Here is a 15,937-nt window from a genome sequence, read left to right on the forward strand (position 1 = left end):
TTATTTGTTCTGCTATTTCCTATGTGTCTGCCCCAGCCCCTTTTGCTGATAATTTTATATTGCATTTATTGCAAGGAACACTGTGTGGTTTCTACGATCAGGTAAAATGCTTAACTTCTTTAAAAAAAAAAACTTTTAAGAAGAAATGATTTTGTTAAAAAAAGTTCTTATTTTGATAAACAAAGGTTTAGTGAAAATTAAATCAGTGTCTGTTTCAGAATATAAGAACCTAAAAGAAGAGTTCTGCAAACACGGTTATTTCAAATTGATGTGCTTTGCAGTATTGAAAAATATTAGTATCATGTCTAGGTAATGTTTAATGACGTGAAGGAAGCAAAGCCAAAGTCACTTAACCTAGTGGTTAGCCACTTGGTAGGGTATGAAATACATGTTTCCCAGGAGGCTCCCAGATCATCATTTGTGTGTTCCTGTATGTGCAATTGTATGCATCCAAAATGATACTTCTTTTAGAGGCTATGTAGAGTTCTAATGTCATCTTATTTCTATTTTGCCACGTGTTTCCTTCTCACTCAATCTTCTCAATGTGGGATTGGGTTCTAGGGATCCACAGTTGTCATTAGGTTAGTCTGAAGAGTGACACCATGCAACAGTGACACTCCTGGCTTGCCCCACCTCTGACACACTTCTCGTCCTTGTCTGTTCCTCTTTCTGATCAGTGTATGACATCTATTAGTCAACATTTCTTAATTGAGAGGGCAGATATATTAAAAGGCTGTATATACTGGAAACTTTTTTTCTTTTTTATCTGAACAGTCCAATGCAGCAATACTAGGTATTGTGGATGCCTATTTTCACAGGCCTGGATTCAGAATGGTGGGGGCACTGAATGGTAAAAATCCCACTGGTTGCATATCTAAGCCATGTACTGTAACCCAGCTGTTGCATAAAGTTTTATCTCCAACAGACTGGCTCCTGTTTCAGATATTCAGAATTCAGGCAGGGAAAGGGGTGTCATTTACCAGGCACTCTTAAATCCCAACAATTACGTGAACAACTACAATCTAAATTTTCAAGTTATCCCACTGATTTATTTGGCCTGGAAATTTTCTAGAATAATGGAGTCTTAAAATAAATCTCAGGTTGAAATGGACTCAGTCTTCAATCTGACTGAAGTGTTTTGCCTTCCTATAATTTTTATTTAGTAATGTTTTAGTAGCTGTAAAATAGTTGCAGTTCATACAACACTTTATGGTTATCTAGTCAGACTTAAGTCTTTTTAAAATATCTATTTTCTCCAGTATAAGGTTTCTCAAAGAACTTCCAGAATTTAAACTATTTCTATATTGTCAACATGTGTCTACAATGAAATTCTTCTAAATGATGGACTGCATCTGTACTCGTTGAAGATTATTTCAGACAACCATGATATACATAATGGTTTGTGCAATAAATGAACTAGAGTCAGAACATGTGGATCCTTAATGCATAAGCTTGGACACATACTTAACTGTTCTGGATGTTAATCTTACTTGGGCCTTGAGAAACATGTGACTTGCCTACCTTATAAAACTGCTACGAGGGTCACAGGATACGAAACTTTGATGAAAAGTAAAGCGTTGTGCAACTTCCTTCATTTGACTAGTCCTCTAAGAATCATTCAACATAGGTGACCCTCATTTTCTCTTAGCATTCATGGCACTCATTTTCTGGTTTTCCTCCACCTCTTTGACTTCTTTCATATCTACTTTGCTGGCTCAGTCGGTCCTTTTCTACCAGACTACTTTAGCCTGAGTGTATTAGTCTGTTTTCATACGGCTATAAATAAGTGCCCAAGACTGGGTAATTCATAAAGGAAAGAGGTTTAATTGACTCACAGTTCAGCATGGCTGGGGAGGCCTCAGGAAACTTACAATCACGGCAGAAGGTGAAGGGGAAGCACAGCACCTTCTTTACAAGATGGCAGGAAGAAGAAGTGCTGAGCGAATGGGGAAGAGCTCCTTATAAAGCCATCAGATCTTGTGAGAACTCACTCACGATCACAAGAATAGCATGGGAGAGACTGCCCCCATAATTCAATTACCTCCACTTGGTCTCTCCCTTGACACTTGGGGATTATGGGGATTACCATTCAAGATAAGATTTTGTGGGGGGACACAAAGCCTAACCATATCACTGAGTTTCCCAGAAAGCAGATAAAACCTTGCAGGCAAATAGTTTATTCGTGCTGTGATCCCAGGAAGCAGGGTTGAGGGAAAGAGAAAGGGAAATAGGAAAAGAGAGAAAACCAATACAAAAATAAGTCAGCCACAATTTTGGGCAATTGGTCCTGGATCCTGGAATAGCTTTTGAGGACCCTTTGAAATGCATCTCAGAACTATGTGCCTGGGGAAGAACAGAAGAAGCATTTATCCATCACTGCTTGATCTCCCATTGGTGATTTCATGGGCAATAATTGCTCTTCACTTTCAAATTATACATGCATGAGTGCTGAGTGGCTCATGAGAAGCACACAGAGAAGCTCCAACGTGGGCTGATAAGAGGTCTTGTCAGGTTGCAACTGTTCAAAAGTTGTAGAAGTGTATGTGGAATTAGTCACCTTCAAAGTGGCTGGAAGAAGAGAGACTTGGAGAGAGAAGTGGGCTAAAGTGGTGTAAGACAGGTTCAATATATCTGAATTTTGGGATTCCTAGATATCTGAATTCAGATTCAGACATCTGAGTTTTGGGATTCTAGGCCATCTTTTTTATTAATATGTCATATTCTTTCTCAGTGATTATATCTGTTTTTATGGTTGACATTATCTATAACCTTGTAATTCCAAAATTTATATCATTAGCTCAGATCACATTTATGAATTCCATATATTCTTGTATTCTGTTCTCTGCATGACATCAATGTTAGAGTATTTCAAGGAATATACAGTTCTAGATGTATAAACCTAACTCTTGATCCTTCCCTATAAATCTCTTTCTTCCCTAGTCTTTAGCCACTTAGTAAATAGTGCTCCCAATGACCTTAAGTAAATACATTACTTATCTATTATTATGTAACAAATTACTGCAAAACATAGTAGCTCATATTACCAATTTATTATCTTGCAGTTTCTGTGGATAAGGAGTTCAGAAGCAGCTTAGTTCAGTGGTTCTGGTTCAGGATTTCTCATGAGATTATGGTCAAAATGTTACCTGAAGGCTTGACTAGAGCTGGAAGATTTTCTTGTCAGCTGGCCCACTCATATGGATTTCTGCAAGAGGCCTCAGTCACTGGGTGGCTGTTGGCAGGAGTCCTCAGTGATCTTCCACCACGGGTGTCTTCATGGGGCTGCTACTCCATAGCAAGAGATCCAAGAGGAAGGGACAAGGCAGAAGCTACAATGTCTTTTATGACCTTGCCTTGGAAATTACGTGCTGTTATATCTGCCATATTCTGTTGAACACACAGAACAACTCTGTTACAATGAGGGAGAGGTTTGGAAGTGGAGATAATTGGGAGCATTATAGAGGCTGCCTACCATTGCAAGAAACCTGAGAATAATTTTCTAAGATTCGTTGTCTCATCAAGTCCTGTTGATTTGCTTCCAAAATACATCTCAAATCTATCTACCTCTCTCTATCTTTACTGCCAAGTCTCCCATCAAATGGACCATAATATCTTGCTTGGATTTTAGTCTTCTGAGTTTCCTTGTATCTAGTCTTCCTTCCCTCTATTCCATTCTTCAGAAAGTAGCTAGAGTGATTTTTTGAAAACATCACATTGTCAGTCTTAAGAGTCTCAAATCACACCACATCACACTTACAATAAAATTCAAACCTCTTAGTAAGGCCTTTGGGGTCCCTGTGGTTCTGACCCCAGCCCATCACTTTGACCTTATCTGTCACTGCTCTGTCCTAACTCCTTATGATGCAGATCTCTAGCTCCCTCCACCTTGCACCCCGTCCCCACCCCTGCAATACACATATTGTGTTGTTTTTTTTTTTTTTTTTAACCAGCCACCATCACACAAATTCTCTTTCTTTGACAAATCTTCAAGTATCAGATTAAACTTTAGGGAACCTTTTTTAGCTCCCCAATCTAAATTATGTCCCATCTTGTTTTTCTCTAGACTTATACACTGTTTATAACACCTATTGATATTCATTATTAGAAATGTTGCTATGTGTTTTTGTTTTTGTTTTTGTTTTTTGATTATCAGTGTCAGTGGGAAGGGACCATATATATTTTGCTTACACATTTCCACCCACTGAGATGCACAATACCTAGAACAGCATAGTTATTAATGAAACAGTGTTGAATAAGTGAATGCCATATCAAAGAAATTCTCTGTTGTCATAGTTTAAACAAAATATGGTCCTGTTTCTTTGTGTCAAAGTTTCCCACAAGTTATAAATGGTTGTTTATCAAAGAATGAAGAAGAATTCTACTAAAAAAAACTAAAATATAGGTCACTGTCCACATTGCTATAAACTTAATGAAACACGATACAAGCAACCAGAAAGATAAACACAGAGAGAAACAAACAAAAAGTTATTTCAAATGAGGCCAATAGAGCACACGAAGTATGTTGTTAGAAGAGAAAATGCCAACATAGAGTTGCAATATAGTTCAGGAGTTCAAGTCAAACTAAAAAATAAATGACTTTACATGAAATGTTTTGGTTTTTAGATCATTAATTTACAGATGGCGACAAAAACGTAAAGATAAAGCTAACATCTTTGAAAAGTTCATTGTTCATATACAGTACCCTGAATATGATTAATCAAATGCCATCTCTTTATACAAAACAATCCTTTTATCATTCCTAATGGTATCAAGCTGAAGTTTATTATATACAGAAAACTGAAGTGTTCACACATGATCTTCACATGATAGGCCATTACTTCAGTTAAGAGAATTTTAAACTTTTATCAAATTACAGCCTTTTGAAATTATTTCCCATCCTCTGGCATCATTATTTGCCTTTCACCCACAAGCGCTCATGTTCAGCATCTTACAATTTTGGCTCCTTTTTCAGGAAAACCAAAAAAGTGATTTTTTTCTTTAAAACCCAGTTGTTACTTGTACAATATCCATTGTGTGAAAACCAATGGCATTGAAATAATATCCCCTCTCTCCCTTTGTCTTCTTTTTCTTCTTTTCTCTTCTTTTTTTCCCTTTTAACCATCCACACATCAACCTGGAGTATTATAATAAATTTAGTTATCATTTTTCAAATTCACCCCATACTAATTGTTACTTACATAAACAGTTAACAAACCTAGTTGATGAAAGGAGGAAATGAATGGTTTTAAAACTGTGAAGGGCCAGTTATAACCATTTCATTCATGTGTGTGTGTGTATATATATATATATATATATATATAATCAAAAGAGATTTCTCCATCAATTGCTGAAGTGAGAACTAAAGCCTCTTTGAGGATATGAACTTGCAATGTTTCCTGTATGAGTCCTCTTAGCTTAAAGAAGCAAACTTTAAAAAATTACCTTTCCATGGTCAGTTGAGACTTAACTCCTTGGAATGAACATATAATTTCTTAGAAGGTGATGAAAGAAACAGTAAAAAGAAAATGAATTTCAGCACTTGGTCATATAAAACATCTCTGGAAGCTCTCACTACATCTGCAAAGTTGATCTGGCCTAATGAGCAAGTAAATGTTTCCTTAAGTAAAGGGAAATATTTTTAAAAATCCTATATGCCATTTAAATTGAGTTACAGATACCTTATAGAAACTGATTGGTGCTCCAAAACAATTGTTTCATGCACTTCAAAATTATTGATAGAATGCAACCTTAAAATATGAAAGGGGAATTGTTGATAGAATACACATGTTACTATGGTGATATTTTTGGAGCATACTATTTGCCAGAAACATGGTGTAATTCTGGCTAATTTCAGCTCATATTAAATGCTGTTGTGACATAACAGAAATGTCTCTAGGTCACATCAGTGTGATTTGCACTGGGAAATTAGATTAGTCTTCATTGGAAACATCAGTTACAAGGCATGACCACATAGTGTCATAAATCTTCCTGATTTAAGAAATGGAAAATGTGCTCTCGCAATGTACTCGTTTATTAATAAGGGTTCTGCGTTCTCAGGATACCAGTTTGTAATTAGGAAACAACTCATAGCTTCACCCTTTTAACTACTCTAACATGTTCCTATCGGAGTTCTAATTGTTAGCTGATGAGATGTGGTGGCCTCACAGAAAACAAGCAGGGATGATTTCTGGACATAGCTCTCCTGGAAAAAGTGTGCACAAGAGGGGGAAATTTCAGTGTAAAACCCTGGCCAACTCCTCAGATTCCCTCCTCAGCAACTTCTATTTCATATGTCACCTTCAGTTAAATTCTGTAATATCTTACTTAATTTGATGTCTTTGTGTGGATTTGCAAAAAGCATTTGGGAGATGAGTTCATTGTGTCTGTACCATGGAGTGAGGAAAGCAATGCTCCCACTGTTAACTATGTGACACTTGATGTCTGTGGGTACTTAGGAGCTAACCCAATTGCATATTTTCCTTATGTCAATAGTATGGGTGTTCAGAACATCCAGGTGTTAGAAAAATGGTGGGGCAAATGTTTATTTGATTAGTATTTTGTAGTCAGTTTCTGAATATATGCTTTTTACTAATAGGTTGTCCCTAGCTTTTCTTAAATATGGACTGATCCAGTATGCCCAACCCTCTTCAGAAAGAACACATAGAAAATGATAATTTTGTACAGTGCATTAGAGTAGGCGGAAGAAGTTTCATGAGGCTGAAGGTGATCTACTGAAGTCTCCATGACCAACCTGCTGCTGGGAGGACCGTATCTTGGAACACCTATAACCCATGACAACTGAGTGTGCCATGGCTGAAAAGGCGAAAGGTCTGGCTAATTTCTACTTCTATCTTTCCTGCAGGGGCCTGCAGTTATTTCCTCTGAACCTAATCTAAATAACCCACACCACTTTAAATTGAACAGTACAGAACTTCATCCAATGTTGTGATAGTTGATGTCATGAATTTGTTTATTTACCTTTTATGCTTACAAAGTACAGCTCTAGGTTAAACTTTTTAGTATGATGTTTCTTTCCTTAAATAACACCATAAGAACCAACCAAATAACAGCAGAAATATATCTTTTAATTCAGTTTATTATCAACTGAATTAAACAACTGAATTTTTGATTAGGTCACACTCCTATAATAATTTCCCAAGAGCCAATAAGCATGAGATATATTCTTAAGCATCTAAATTTGGGAAACATTGAATTTTTTATAAAAGTAAGGTAAACCATCAATAAATATTTGACTCCCCAAATATAATTTTAATGTGCAAATATCTGACCTTACTTTTCTGAGTATAATAAAACCTATTTGTGTCCATAATTATTTGATTATCTCTTTATTCAGCAGTTTAGTAGGCCTTATATTTTCAAAGATGAAGGTACTCTATTAGATTTTATCTTCTATAATATGTGCATAGCATAGTGTCTTTCTCTCTCTCTCACACACACACACACACACTTTGAGAATGTGTTCAGTTTCTGAATGTATATGTATATACACTACACACACACACACACACACATCTTTAATGAAAAAATATCCTCTAAAAGTAAAATATTCTCTAGAGAAAAAATATTCTCTAAAATTTGTGGAAACAAGGGTTCTAACTATAGGTTTCACAGAGGTTGGAATTTATAACTTGTACTTTATTTTATTTAAAATATTCTTTCCATCCTTTAGCGTTTGTCTGCACAGATACAAATGGGATTTAGTACTTATTTTATTTAAAATCTTCAATCCCATGGCTTTTATCTCCTAAATAATGTTGACTCCAATCCATAAAAATGGTTTTACACAAAAGTAAAAAAAAAAGTCCCTGTTTTTCCGTTTTATAGACAGTTTTCTTTTTCTTTTACTCCAAAGTATTTTTTATCTATAACTGCCTAAACTAGGTAGTCAAGAACTCATTGCAATGTCACAGGACTAGGAAATTACAATTAGGGAATGTTACAGCTGGAAAAACTCTTAGACAATAACTTATTTAACCCCACACAGTGGCTCTCCATATCTGCAGGTTCCAAATTCACAGATTCTGCATCTGCAATTGAACCAATCACAGATCAAAAATATTAAGGAAAAAAACAAAAATAAAAATAATACAAATTTAAAATACAATATAACAACTATTTACATAGTGTTCACATTATATTAAGTATCACAAGTAATTTGGAGATGATTTAAAGTATATGGGAGGATGTGCCTAGGTTATATGCAAATGTTATTTTATGTAAGAAACTTGAGCATCTGTGGATTTTGGTATGGGCCAGGATACAAAGAGGTGATTGTAATTTTAAAAGAAGTCTTAGGGATTAACTTGTTTAACCTCATCATTTTAAAAAGGAAACTAACATGGAAACATTCAGTGATTTTCCTTATCATCTGTATTAGTCTGTTTTCATGCTGCTGATAAAGACATACCCAAGGCTGGGAAGAAAAGGAGGTTTAATTGGACTTACAGTTCCACACAGCTGGGGAGGCCTCAGAATCATGGCCGGAAACGAAAGGCACTTCTTACATGGCAGGAGCAAGCAAGAGAAACTGAGGAGAAAGCAAAAGCAGAAACCCCTGATAAACCTGTCACATCTTGTGGGACTTATTCACTATCACAAGAATAGCACAGGAAAGATCAGCCCCCATGATTCAATTACTTCCCCTGGGTCCCTCCCACAACACGTGGGAATTCTGGGAGATACAATTCAAGTTGAGATTTGGGTGGGGGCACAGCCAAACCAAATCATTCCGCCCCTGGCCCCTCCAAATCTCATTTTCTCACATTTAAAAACCAATAATGCCTTCCCAACAGTCCCCCAAAGTCTTAACTCATTTCAGCATTAACCCAAAAGTCCACAGTCCAAAGTCTCATCTGAGACAAGGCAAGTCTCTTCCTCCTATGAGCCTGTAAAATCAAAAACAAGCTAGTTACTTCCTAGATACAAATGGGGGTACAGGTATTGGGTAAATACAGCCATTCCAAATGGGAGAAATTGGCCAAAACAAAGGGGTTACAGGGCCCATGCAAATCCAAAATCCAGCAGTGTAGTCAAATTTTTTAAAGCTCCAAGATGATCTCCTTTGACTCCGGGTCTCACATCCAGGTCATGCTGATGCAAGGGGCGAGTTCCCATGGTCTTGGGCAGTTCTGCTCCTGTGGCTTTGCAGGGTACATCCTCCCTCCTGGCTGCTTTCACAAGCTGGTGTTGAGGGTCTGCAGCTTTTCCAGGCACATGGTGAAGCTGTTGGTGGATCTACTACTCTGAGTTCTGGAGGACGGTGGCCCTCTTCTCACAGCTCCACTAGGCTGTGCCCCAATAGAGACTCTGTGTGGGGCTCCAATCCCACATTTCCCTTTCACACTGCCCTAGCAGAGGTCCTCCATGAGGGCCTCGCCCCTGCAGCAAACTTTTGCCTATGCATCCAAGCACTTTCATACATCTTCTGAAATCTAGGCAGAGGTTCCCAAACCTCAGTTCTTGACTTCTATGCACATGCAGGCTCAACTGCCAAGGCTTGGGGCTTCCACCCTCTGAAGCCACAGCCTAAGCTGTACATTGGCCCCTTTCCGCCACGCAGGCACCAAGTCCCAAAGCTGCACAGAGCACAGGGACCCTGGGCCTGGCCCATGAAACCATTTTTACCTCCTGGGCTTCTAGGCCTGTGATGGAAGGGGCTGCCGTGAAGGTCTTTGATGTGGCCTGGAGACATTTTCCCCATGGTCTTGGGGATTAACATTAGGCGCCTTGCTACTTATGCAAATTTCTGCAGCTGGCTTGAATCTCCCCCCAAAAATGGGTTTTCCTTTTCTATCGTGTAGTCAGGCTGCAAATTTTCCAATCTTTTATGCTCTGCTTCCCTTATAAAACTGAATGCCTTTAACAGTACCCAAGTCACCTCTTGAATGCTTTGCTGTTGAGAAATTTCTTGTGCCAGATACCCTAAATCATCTTTCTCAAGTTCAAGGTTCCACAAATCTCTAGGTCAGGGGCAAAATGCCTCCAGTCTCTTTGCTAAAACATAACAAGAGTCACCTTTGCCCCAATTCTCAACAAGTTCCTCATCTTTATCTTAGACCACCTCAGCGTGGACCTTACTATCCATATTGCTATCAGGCTTTTGATCAAAGTCATTCAACAAGCTTCTAGGAAGTTCCAAACTTTCCCACATTTTCCTGTCTTCTTCTGAGCCCTCAAAACTGTTCCAGCCTCTGCCTATTACCCAGCCCCAAAGTCGCTTTCCCATTTTTGGGTATATTTTCAGCAATGCTCCACCCTTCTGGTACCAATTGACTGTATTAGTCCATTTTCATGCTGCTGATAAAGACATACCTGAGACTGGGAAGAAAAAGAGGTTTAATTGGACTTAAGAGTTCCACATGGCTGGGGAGGCTTCAGAATCATGGCCTGAGAAAAAAGACACTTCTTATGTGGCAGCAGCAGAAGAAAATGAGGAGGAAGCAAAAGCAGAAATCCCTGATAAACCCATCAGATTTTGTGAGACTTATTCACTATCATAAGAATAGCATGGGAAAGACCAGCCTCCATGATTCAATTACCTCCCCCTGGGTCCCTCCCACAACACATGGGAGTTCTGGGAGATATAATTCACGTTGAGATTTGGGTGGGGACACAGCCAAACCATATCATCACCTAATTAGTGGCAGAACTAGAATAGGAACTTACATGTTACTCTGCCTTCCAACTTGGGACTTTTGCTAGTGTACCAGCTATTTCTCATCAATTGAAAGAGAAAGAATTGAATGAGATGAAAAATCTCAAGAATATTATAATTTAGTCTTTCATTTATGTATCTTTTTCTAAATAATTCTCTGGCAAGAAAGATATAAGCAGTATTTATATATTCTCTCATCTGAGTAAATAAATATTTTGAAATATATACTTATGGCAAAAATGCACCAAAGAAGTCCAATATCAAGATATTGTTAGTTTGGCTTATGCATGAAGACTGGGCATAGAATCCATATCTTGAAAAAGCTGTGGAAGCTCTTAAGACCTTTTAAAAAATTCTCATGCAATTTAAACTATAGTCTAAATATTAAAAAAATTGTGTCCTCCCTTTGTATTTCTGGGTCAGTTAATTATTAGATCCGCTCTCTTACACTTTTGTTGGATACATTTTTCATCTCCTAAAAGGGGGACCTTGAGAAATCTCCACAGTTATTCATTTACGCTGATATTTTAGGAGACACCATGTCCTATAAATATCACTTTTCATATGCCACTCCTTTCCCCTCCAACATAATAAAAATGCTCTAGGTTGGCTTTCATGGCCCATCACAAATTGGCTTCACCTAATGCATTGAAACTTTTCTCCCACTTCTCCCAATATTGAACTTCCCCCTTCAGCTGGGCCAGTCCTTCATCATTCCCCACTGAAAGTTTGCTTATTTCTGTCTCTTTGTCTTTATATTTGAGTTTCTGTTCGGTGGAAAAGCATACCTCCTCCTACATCTGTAGACAAATTCAAAACATTACTTGACCATGTAGCCTCCATGAAGCTTTTCCAGAAGAAGTTTAACAAAAAATGTGCCCCGCAACCCCATTAAAAATTCCAAATGCATTTATCCTACCAATGAAGTTAAAGCTATTCTATTTTTTATTTTCTCAGCCAGAACTTTTTCCATTGCTTCCCCTTGCTTGCTGTACACAGTTAATTGATTGCCATAATGACAATGATAATTGGCAACTATATATTAAATTAGATATTTACATTCATTTACATTACTCAAATGTTATTTTAATTGACTTATAATACCTTTTTGAGGTGTATAAGGATGTTATTATTGCATTTATGGATAAGAAAATTGAGTCAGAGTGGTTAAATTACTATTAAATAGAAAAGTTAGTATTTTATTTTGCCAAGTGTAACATTAAAAACAAAACTACTTTCTACTATCTTCCATATTTACTAAATAAAATGACATTTTGCTGCCTAAGAAATAAGATATTTGAAATCATAGAAAATTTAGCTTTTGCAAAAACTCACTACATTTCCTTAATTTGCCTCATTCTAGTGAAAACTTCATTGTAGACCATGGAAAAGTTTTAGGGCTTCTCTAGACTTATTATTCTGTGGCTTATCCATTTAAGGAGACAGACAACTTAAGGCTTTTTATATTTATTTATTTATTTATTTTTTGAGATGGAGTCTCACTCTGTCGCCCAGGCTGGAATGCAGTGGCGCAATCTCGGCTTGCTGCAAGCTCCACCTCCCGGGTTCACAACATTCTCCTGCCTCAGCCTCCCGAGTAGGTGGGACTACAGGTGCCCACCACCACACCCGGCTAATTTTTTTGTATTTTTAATAGAGACAGGGTTTCACCGTGTTAGCCAGGATGGTCTCGATCTCCTGACCTCGTGATCCACCTGCCTCGGCCTCCCAAAGTCCTGGGATTACAGGCGTGAGCCACTGTGCCTGGCCAGGCTTTTTATTTTTACTGAATTTTTTTACACACATTTATCCATGCATCCCTTCCCTCATCATCCATGCAAAACAGATAGGATTTATAATAATAGAGTACTCAAGGAAATGTTGTTATGTGCTGTCATTGCTTTATAACAAGGGGTAAAGGAGCAGACGAAAAATTCTCATGTCTGACTGCCATGATATGTAGCTTTTGGTTTAATTCCATTCATAGAAGTAGTCCAGTCATTGAATAAACAATTCATAGAATAGCAAATATAAGTACAGTTGAGTTGGAAGAATAGTCTGCCAAGAACAATTAATAAGTTATTGTTTATAAAATTCTGGACATGTAAAACATACCCAACCCACTGCTAACCTAGAGAAGCAGTGACCTCTTTGGGAACTCTGTTCCATGGCTCTGTGCAGTATGGGTGGGTGTTGGGTAGAGAAAACAGTGAGAAGGGGTTTGGACTCTGAGCCTTGTGGAAGCTGAGCAACTGACCCTGCCCTGCAGTCACACCCACGTTTAGCCCAGGGGCTGCTGCCCACATCTCCTCTTTGGAGGTTGTCTTAGTTCATTTTGTGCTACCGTAACAGAATACCACAGACTAGGTAATTTAAAGTGAACAGAAACTGATTGACTCACAGTTCTAGAGTTTGCGAAGTCCAAAATCAAGCAGCTGACATCTTACGAGAGCTTTCTTGTTGTATCATCCCTTGGCAAAAGGGAGAAGAGCATGAGAGGGTGAGAGAGAGAGAGAGCAAAAAGGGTGCTAATTCATCCTTTTATAAGAAACCCAGTCAGAGATAATGGCATTAATCTATTCAAGAGGGCAGTGCCCTCATGGCCTAATCACCTCTCATTAGGCCCTACCTACCAAGACTGTTGCATCAGGGATTAACCTAACACATGTTTTTTAGGGGACAGGTTCAACCCATAATAGGGGTGGTCCTCAAGAGAAATGCTGGAATTTACAACACACCCAAAGGTGAATAGAATTACTTCATTTTGCCTTTGCTGAAAACTGTCTGCAGTTAACTCAGGCCCAAATTAAAGTATTTATAGAATACTTGACAAACCCATAATTAGCAAATTAATTTTTGAGTTTTTTTTGGGAAATGATTTAGTATTTATTCTGTGCTTTTCTTTCGAAACTGCAGTTATTTCCAGCTTCCTAAAGCTATGAAAAATAGGCATATTCCAGTACCACACAAAAGAAACTAAGATAAGCAGATGAGATACTTAGGAATGTGAGCACTCCATTTACTTGAAACTTCAAGGCACAGAGCCATGTAGAACCAAACTTGCACTAGCCAGGGTTTACCCAAGGCTGTCATTGGCTCAATGTTTGCTAAGTCACATAGGCCTGATGGTGTGGTAGAAACAGCACTGAACTGGAAATTGGAGGACCTGGATTCTAGAACTGGCTCTGTCCCTTTTCCGTTTTGTATCCTTGAGTAAAATGTTGAAAGATAAGACTAGGTAATTTTTATTCTCCCTGCCTCTAAAATTCCTTAGATTTTTTTTTTTTTTTTGAGATGGAGCCTTGCCCTGTCGCCCAGGCTGGAGTGCAGTGGCACGATCTCGGCTCACTGTGGCCTCTGCCTCCTGGCTTCAAGCAATTCTCCTGCCTCAGCCTCCCGAGTAGACTAGCTGGGATTACAGACGCACACCAGCACACCTGGCTAATTTTTGTATTTTTAGTAGAGACGGGGTTTCACCATGTTGACCAGACTGGTCTTGAACTCCTGACCTCAGGTGATACAGCTGCCTCGGCCTCCCAAAGTGCTGAGATTACAGGAGTGAGCCACCGTGATCAGCCAATTCCTTAGATTTTATGATTAGAGGTTTGCCAGGACTCCTGGAACCATGTGCCTGCTTTTAGTCAGGAATCACTAACTTGCTTTGCACCTTCCTTTTGAGTCTCAAGCCTCAGCAGTAGTCCATTTTAGGCATGGCTCATTCTCATTCTTAAGGTTGCTCTGAAGCAGTGGGAATTTTGTATGAAGCCCTTTGATAGACTAAGTTGTTGCAGTTACTCTGTATCTGTTTCTTCTTACTTTGTCTACACCAAGGAACAGATGTTGATGCAGAATATGACTGCTTTTTCCAAACCAAATTGTGCCTGTCAAAAAAATGTCACTGTTAGATTCTGTATTTAACCTAACTGGGGCAAACTTGACATGAGTGTTGTATGGAGATCATCTTTCTACTATTTTTTCTTATGATCTCTCTTTGATTCAGCTCATATTCTGCCCTCAAATACAACAGTTGATGACTTTACATTTTATTGAAGATGTTTGGTGGTATCGTTCCTCTGGATGAAACTGTTTGGCATGTTTGAATTCTCCTCCTTTCTATGTGGTCATAAAAACACACATCCCTGCAAACTTTTTCTTAAGTATTCATGTATAACCTTGTTTCTCAAGATCAATTTCCTGAGAAAGATGACCATTTTTTTCTTTTAAATATTATTGATCACAGAAACTACAGTATATATTTATTACAAGATTTTAAAACATTACAAAGTGAAAATATCAGTCTGTAAAATGGGATTAATTATGAGCAGCTTAGCTGAGAGTTAAGGTGCCTTCACAGAGTGCTATCAGATGATGAATGCTGTACCTAAGGTAAATAGCAGACTTAAAAAATTCTCTCGAGAAACAATTTTATTTTTAATATCATAGTGATATCTTTCATTACATAAACACTTTAATTTTTTTTTCTTTTGTTAAAGGAAGGGGAATGGGGGGGAATGAGGTGCTAAGAACAAAGCAAGAAAGTTTTTGAAAATGACTCCATTTAGTTTTAAACTGACTGCTCTACCTGCTAGCGTTTTTAAACATGACTTTTTCCCTCATTCCAGAACATCTGTGATTGTGTTTAAGTTCATAAGGATCTAGGACATTTTACACCACTTGAAATCTACAACCTATGTACATTTGGAGGATATGTGGCTCCATGAATTTATCTTCAGAGAGGGGCCCACCCAAGTAGTCAAATAGTTGTAAATGTAAGTGAACAGCACAGTTTTCTTTAAAAGTCCAGATTTCTATAAAGAATTCTAGAACCCATTGGCCAGCTCCCCCTAATCTATGTAAATCTCAAATAGTTTCCTGACTTTGCTTTTGATTATAGCGGTAAGTTTTGGTTTTCTCATAGTGCAGTATTGGGAGTCTTTGGCTATCCTGTCTACTCAAATCTGGGCTCTTTGTCCAGCAGATGTTTCCAGTTGTGTTAATGGTGTTGAGTTGTGTGTGGGAGATGATGATGTAGAAACCCAGAGAATAGCTTGAGACCAGGCCAAACACTGTTGCTTGTTGCTTAACCATGGGCCAAATTTGAACTCATGCTTCCAAGGATACAAAAGCTAACACATTAGCTTCTCCTGGAAAATACAGGCTCCAGAAAAATAAATCATTCTCAATAGAAAATTCAGTCATTTTAGTACATAAAATCATTACTATATGAGTCCCCTTTGTTTTAAAAGTGGAAGGATGCTTAAT

General features: G+C 38.1%; 1 long non-coding RNA gene across 2 annotated transcripts in view; it reads right to left on the reverse strand.

The window, feature by feature from the left end:
* The window catches only part of LOC105377462 (uncharacterized), a 360,687-nt gene that overhangs the window by 6,166 nt on the left and 338,584 nt on the right, over positions 1-15,937 (reverse strand). For both annotated transcript variants that reach the window (XR_939273.3, XR_939272.3), the window contains 3 exons: positions 13,077-13,146; positions 8,467-8,548; positions 3,147-3,387 (listed from right to left, as the gene is read on the reverse strand). This is a non-coding gene — a long non-coding RNA (uncharacterized LOC105377462). The remainder of the gene's footprint in view (positions 1-3,146; positions 3,388-8,466; positions 8,549-13,076; positions 13,147-15,937) is intronic.

The sequence above is a fragment of the Homo sapiens genome, chromosome 4, assembly GCF_000001405.40.
Source record: "Homo sapiens chromosome 4, GRCh38.p14 Primary Assembly".
NCBI classification, from domain to species: Eukaryota; Metazoa; Chordata; class Mammalia; order Primates; family Hominidae; genus Homo; species Homo sapiens.